General features: G+C 50.5%; 1 non-coding gene across 1 annotated transcript, besides 1 other annotated feature; it reads left to right on the forward strand.

Moving 5' to 3' along the window:
• Positions 3,769 to 4,312: an enhancer, noted in NCBI's record as "H3K4me1 hESC enhancer chr2:177012925-177013468 (GRCh37/hg19 assembly coordinates)". NCBI's record gives its function as "activates a minimal SCP1, AML or CMV promoter by ChIP-STARR-seq in primed H9 embryonic stem cells {active_cell/tissue: H9 hESC(primed)}" and the evidence as "EXISTENCE:reporter gene assay evidence [ECO:0000049][PMID:30033119]".
• MIR10B (microRNA 10b) lies at positions 5,875 to 5,984 on the forward strand. Its single transcript, NR_029609.1, has one exon. It is a non-coding gene; the product is annotated as a microRNA 10b (primary transcript).

Below are 6,713 nucleotides of genomic sequence, written 5' to 3' on the forward strand. Positions count from 1 at the left end.
GTCGCCCAAGCTGGAGTGCAGTGGTGCGATCTCGGCTCACTGCAACATCTGCCTCCTGGGTTCAAGCGATTCTCCTGCCTCAGCCTCCTGAGTAGCTGGGATTACAGGCACCCGCCACCACACCCGGCTAATTTTTGTATTTTTAGTAGAGATGGGGTTTCACCATGTTGGTCAGGCTGGTCTCAAACTCCTGACCTTGTGATCTGCCTGTCTTGGCCTCCCAAAGTGCCGGGGTTACAGGAAAATAAAGAAAGCTCTTCTCAACCCCTCAAACTATTATTATTATTTTACAGCTGCTCATCTAGTGCTAACCAGAATCAGAAACATGTTTTGAAGAGTTTATCCATTTTTAAAAACAGATGCCATCAACCATAAAAGAAAAATATCTTCCTACATGGCTAATGAAACAAAAAAAGGAGAAATGGATGCCTTACAATCCAGGCTAATAGCCCCCTGCTTTCTAGCTAATGACAGTGAAATCAGGAAATGGGTTTGAAAATGCATGTAGAATGGGTGGAAATTGGGATGCAAAGAGATCTTTGTATGAAGGGATCTCTTTTATGGGCTTGATGGGTCTTTCTGATGGGAACAGTTGCAACTGAATTTGATTTAGAAATCATATGTGTGTGTGCTCTACAAATCTCCACAGAACATCCATTATTTTCATCAGAATAGTCAAAACCACACGTTTTTACACTGTTTGGTGGCAACTCTGGTGGGCTATTGAAGGGTGCTGGGGGGTCAATTCTCTTTTTATTTATGCTCCTTGGTGGGAGCTGAGGGCATCTTTCCCTCTCTCTTACCCCCACCCCAGCCTCCCCCAAGCAGAGAATGCCACATTTTCCTAGAGAGCAGCTTCAGGCCCAAGCTCTTTCCTTGGCTTTCTCAGCAGGACAGCGGCAGTGTACTACTCTCTCTTCCTCTCTTAGGCTCTCTCCCTGGTGGGGGCAGCAGTGTGGGTGTGGGGGTAGTGCTCCTAAAACTCCCACCCAGTTTTGAGCCCCCAAAGTTCCTGAGCCTTAATCACTGTGCTTGGAGACACCATGGGAGTGGGGACATCTGACTTCCTAGGCTTGGATTCCTTGAGAGTCTCATTTGCTTCCTCACACCCTGTCGCCTTCACACCAGGGCTGTTTTATTGTTTTATAACCTTCTTTGGAGCTTTAGTTGCCAAAGATTCTAATGAGGCTATTCTCCACTTTCTCACTTTACCAAACCCCAAGTCTTGCTGTGTTAAGCAGTTTGGTCACTTGCAAAGGCTTTCCTTTCAGATCTAAGCGAATTACAGAAACCTCTAGGCATGTGGCTACCTTCAACTTTGTCCAAGCCCATGCACAACAATATGGAGGGAGCCAAGTGTTAATTCCAACTGCTACTCCCACCCCCAAACCCACCCAGCCTCTCCCTAACCACCCTTTCTCCATTGAAACTTGAAAAAAATCTCAAATAACTTCCAACTTCTGTCATAAGCAAATAAGAAGTGGCTTTTGACCTTCCTCTTTATCACATCTAGAGCTAGAAAATTATTGAAATAAAGGGGTTGATGGTACTCACAGTGAATGCCGCCAAAGAATCATAAGACATGCCCACCAACTAGCCTTTTCCAAATAGCACTATCTCCCAACTTAAACAGCTTCTCCGAAAAGATGCTATTTGAAAAGCCTGGGGTATTGATATGAATATGACCTCCCTTGCATCCTGGATATTTGGAACTATTTAAATCTGAGGTAACCGTTGCAGCGAACCTTTATTTAGTGAATAAAAGTTTAAAGCCAAAGGTTATTTATGGTTCTGCAGAGATGGGACCTGAGTGGCTATTTACGAGCACGTGATTCCAATAAACTTTGTTTTATGGCTTGAGAGTTGACAAGCCAAAATATAATTCCCACCATAAATTAGGTTAAGAGCATACAAGTGCAGATGCTGGGTTCCTGGAGCAGCAATAGGAACGTGAGAGGCTCCAGCCAGCTCCAGGCTAAGAAGGAGACGGTTCTACTCCCAGCTCCCCTGCCCACTAGGAAAGAAAAACAGTAAGTCACTTATTACTTTTTCCACAACAACTTCAGAGGTGGGAGATTTCTCTGTTCCTGACTTTTCTGCCTAGGATGGGGATAAGTCTCATCGAAGTTAATTCTAATTTTAGCCTAAACCTAAATTAACAAATAGAATGAGCATCTCGATCTCCCATGCCCTCCCTTCCTGATAGGGACAGTTAGGAATTGAGGGCTCTCACCTCACAAGAGGGACTTACTGCCCCTCTCCTCCCCCTTAAGAGCATCTCCTTCAGAAGTGGAATAAAACAGTGGTATTCTGGGTGGGGAAAGAAAGAGAGGATGAGGGTGAAGCTGCTTTGTCCCTGAGATTTCTGATACTGCTTTCCTATAATAATATCAGGAAAGACTGAAAACTTAAAACTGGACACCAGCCTCTGGGAGGACCACTGCTTAGTAAGATTGTCTTCTGGGCTCTCCAGCAGCAATCCTGAAAAATTGATGTCATACCCATAGAGCTGGATAACAATCTAAAGCATTGCCATTCACCTTTAAACCCATTGATTTTCCTCCTCCTTGGTTATCATTTGGGTCCTCATTTCCCCCTGGAAATTGCTCTTTGTTTTGAATTGGAGTAGAAGTGGCAAGTCCCAGCCATGCCTGATTCTTCTTTGAAGAGGAGAAGACAGGTTTTGGGGGCACTGGTTGGGGCTGAGGAATTTGAAACCAAGCTGAAGCTGGAAAGGGAGGCTGAATTGCTCCCAGGGTGGGAGAGATAGGAAGCAGGGGTGAGGGGCAGATGGAGCGGCTACCCCCTCCCCAGTGGACCTGCACCCACCCGGCCCGATTGCGCAGAAGGAAACACACAAAGGCCCATTTTCTCCTCGCTTCTCGTTTTCCCACTGGGAAAACCCTGTTACAGGCGACCTGACTCGGGCCCAGTAACTAGTGAGGTTTTGCCCAAGGGTGCGTGGAGTGGGGGAGGCGATGGAGATCGAAATCTGTCATAATCCGTGGCTCTGCTCTTGAGGGACTGCGGTCTCCGGCTCTGCGGAGAACTTTGCGCAGTTCCCGGGGGCGGGCACCTGAAGCAGGGAGGTCTGGGTATTGGTGGGGTATCTGGGCCTTGTCATTTTTCTGTGTGTTATATGTGTCTGCTTTATTATCCTGTGGAATTTAAGTGATCCCCGTTTTCATTGCAACAGGTTCAGGACCATGAGAGAGCGCCGCTGTAAGTACCTTCCCGCTTCTTCCGAATCGCGAAGAGACGGTACTGATCGCGGGGAAGTGGTGGGCTAAGGGGCCAAGCCAGCGGAGTGGGCGGATAGAAGAAAGGCCCTGCCTCCCCCACCCCACCCCCACCCTCCACCCCCGGCCTCGCTCTGCGAGGTTAGCCCGCTTCGGGAGGTGGAGGCGCTAAATCGAGGTCCCGGAAAGCTTTTCTGGGGCCTGGTTCACAGACACCTGCCTGAGAGAACGGTCCGCGGGGTCTCGCCCTTGTCTCCTTGGGCCTCCCTAGACCTTCGCGGCCCTTCCCTGCTCTGCACAGGTGCAGCTCCGCCAAGGCGCTCACTTCTGTTAAGAGCTTGCTAATTAGCAGCCTGTCTTATTAGCGGCTTCAAACCAACGCAGTAAACACCAAGGCAATGCGGTCCCCTCCGCAGCCCAACCCTTCTTAACCTGGTCTAGCCTGGCCAACCTTCTGTTTTTAAAAAAATTCACTGAAAACAAAAACTCAATCCTCTGTGGCCGTGGGTGTGTTGAGTTGCCCGCTTCTGAGCTTTATGTGGACATTCCTTCCCCGCCCCTCCCCCGATCTGTTTGCAGCGGTGTGGGCCCTGGGCTTGGGACACTGGCTGAGCGAGGAGGGATACGGACCTTCTTTTCACCTCTGCTTCTCTGTAACTGCAGTTGGAGAATTTCCGCCCCAGAGGCGCTGGTGCTGCAAGGAGGCATAGGAGGGTGGAGTGGGGTGGATGCGGTGGGGTGGGGCCAGAGACTCGTGGGATCCTTGGCTTGGATGTTTGGATCTTTCTGAGTTGCCTGTGCCGCGAAAGACAGGTACATTTCTGATTAGGCCTGTGAAGCCTCCTGGAGGACCATCTCATTAAGACGATGGTATTGGAGGGAGAGTCACAGAAAGAACTGTGGCCCCTCCCTCACTGCAAAACGGAAGTGATTTTATTTTAATGGGAGTTGGAATATGTGAGGGCTGCAGGAACCAGTCTCCCTCCTTCTTGGTTGGAAAAGCTGGGGCTGGCCTCAGAGACAGGTTTTTTGGCCCCGCTGGGCTGGGCAGTCTAGTCGACCCTTTGTAGACTGTGCACACCCCTAGAAGAGCAACTACCCCTATACACCAGGCTGGCTCAAGTGAAAGGGGCTCTGGGCTCCAGTCTGGAAAATCTGGTGTCCTGGGGACCTCTGGTCTTGCTTCTCTCCTCCCCTGCACTGGCTCTGGGTGCTTATCTCTGCAGAAGCTTCTCGCTAGCAAACCCACATTCAGCGCCCTGTAGCTGAACACAGCACAAAAAGCCCTAGAGATCAAAAGCATTAGTATGGGCAGTTGAGCGGGAGGTGAATATTTAACGCTTTTGTTCATCAATAACTCGTTGGCTTTGACCTGTCTGAACAAGTCGAGCAATAAGGTGAAATGCAGGTCACAGCGTCTAACAAATATGAAAATGTGTATATTCACCCCGGTCTCCAGCCGGCTCAGCAGGCTCCCCCAATTTGTCTGGATAGAGCCTAGGCCCAGTGTCCCAGGAAGGTGGATACTTGGGAGTCTTTGGCATTCAGGGAAATTGGGGGGACTCTCCTGGGATAAACAGATTCTGCAGCCTCATAGCCCTTGTTAGAACTGGCGCCCCCAAAATCCCTACGAAACAGGTAAAGTGGTGGAAGCAAAGGATGGGGGGATGAGCAAAGTGCCAGGCTTGGAGGGGGAGTATCCCTGCCCCACCCCACCAGGCCCAGGCCCAGGCTTGAAACTAAATTTTGAATTATGTGGGAGGTAGGAAGGGCAATCAAGACAGTTAAAAAAAAATCTAACACCTTCAGCCTACAGTTAGGCACCCAAAAGCCCCACTCGAGCCAGGGCATCCCTGTGCCCCTGAAATCCATCGAGGCTCTGAGTGAGTCTGCGCTCTCCATGCCCTGAACTGAGGGACAAGCACTGCACAGTGCCGAGGCGCTGGGGCGGGTGAAATTTGTGAACTTTTGTACTCTTGTGTGCTGCTGTCGGCAAAGCAAAAATAATGAAAGTTTGTGATATGTTTGTAAATGATTTCGAATGACCCCTCGCCCTGCCCTTCACCATTAGCGCGCCGGCCTCAGCCCAAGGCGGCTCGGTGCCTGTGAGCAGCGCCTGCCTCGGGGTCTGCAGCAGCAGCGGAACGGAGAGGCCAGCCCGGATCAGGGCCCATGAAGGTAAATGCGCGACTTCTTGGAGAAGTAGCTTTGGCAGACAACCTGGCTTGGTCGGGCAGTAGGAAAAGGAGTAGACACAGGATATTCCCCTCTCGCTTCTTTTTCTTCTGCCGCTGAGGGCATTTGTTCCTTTCTGGAAAATACCACTTGGTAAGGAGGAGGGTTATTTGGATCCTGGTGGGGGAGGGTGGTTAATAAAGCCGCCATCCTTGGGATGGATTATTTTTCTTTCTTTCTTTCTTTTTTTCTTTCTTAAGAAGAATATTCTGGTTGTTCGCCTGCTTGGTAACCCTGACCCTGGCAGAAGAATGAGGGAACTCATTGCTTCAAATTGTCGCCAAGCCCATTAGGCTACCTGAACTGTCTCAGAAAGTGCGGGTGGCTGCGTCGAACGGTGGTGGCTCAGAGGAAGAGATTGGGGCCGGCAGCGACCTAGGTACCTCACTCTGGGTGGGACCCAGAGGTTGTAACGTTGTCTATATATACCCTGTAGAACCGAATTTGTGTGGTATCCGTATAGTCACAGATTCGATTCTAGGGGAATATATGGTCGATGCAAAAACTTCACGTTTCTTCGGAATAGCCAGAGACCAAAGTGCGACATGGAGACTAGAAGCAGCCGGCGCTGGTCAGCCGCCTCGTTCTGTTTTATTACCTTGGACTCCAGGAGGATCAGCTGCGCCTGGTGACATAGAGCAGCTTTTCCTCTCCAGAAGCTCCTCACCTTTAAACAGAGTATCCTCTGGGTGCTGAAAAGAAAGAAAGACAGAAAGAGAGAAAGAGAGAGAGAGAGAGAAAGAGAGAATGCAAGCCTAATTGGTTGCATGGATGCAGGGCCAAAGGGCTAGGTTTTGGGGTACTAGGGAGTGAGGTACAAGGCCAGCTTGCCCAGTCCCAGCTCTGCCCTCCAGGAACATGAGGTGCAAAGGTACCCAAATGGGGGCTTGCTTGTATTTGGGGCCTGTGGGAAGAAAGCAAGCTTCAAAGAAGCCCAGTGGGGAGCTCTAGGGTGCATTTTGACAAGGTGGAGGTGCCCTTGCCACCATCCCAGCCCACCCCCAGCTACATGGGCAAGGGCAGCGAGGGCCCCCTGCTATTTTGGCAGGGCCCAGCTTTGGCTGGGAACCCCCGGGCCTGGGCACTGGTAGAAAGCATGGCGGTTACTCATTGCCTAATTTGATTCAAGCTGGCCAGATTCTGGTAACTTTTGGGTGACCCTGATGAAGACAAAGCCAGGACGGCGGCCTTTGTATGGCAGAATCCCTGCTCCCGCCGGCTGCAGGCAGGGCGGGCAGG

The sequence above is a fragment of the Homo sapiens genome, chromosome 2 (assembly GCF_000001405.40).
Source record: "Homo sapiens chromosome 2, GRCh38.p14 Primary Assembly".
NCBI lineage: Eukaryota > Metazoa > Chordata > Mammalia > Primates > Hominidae > Homo > Homo sapiens.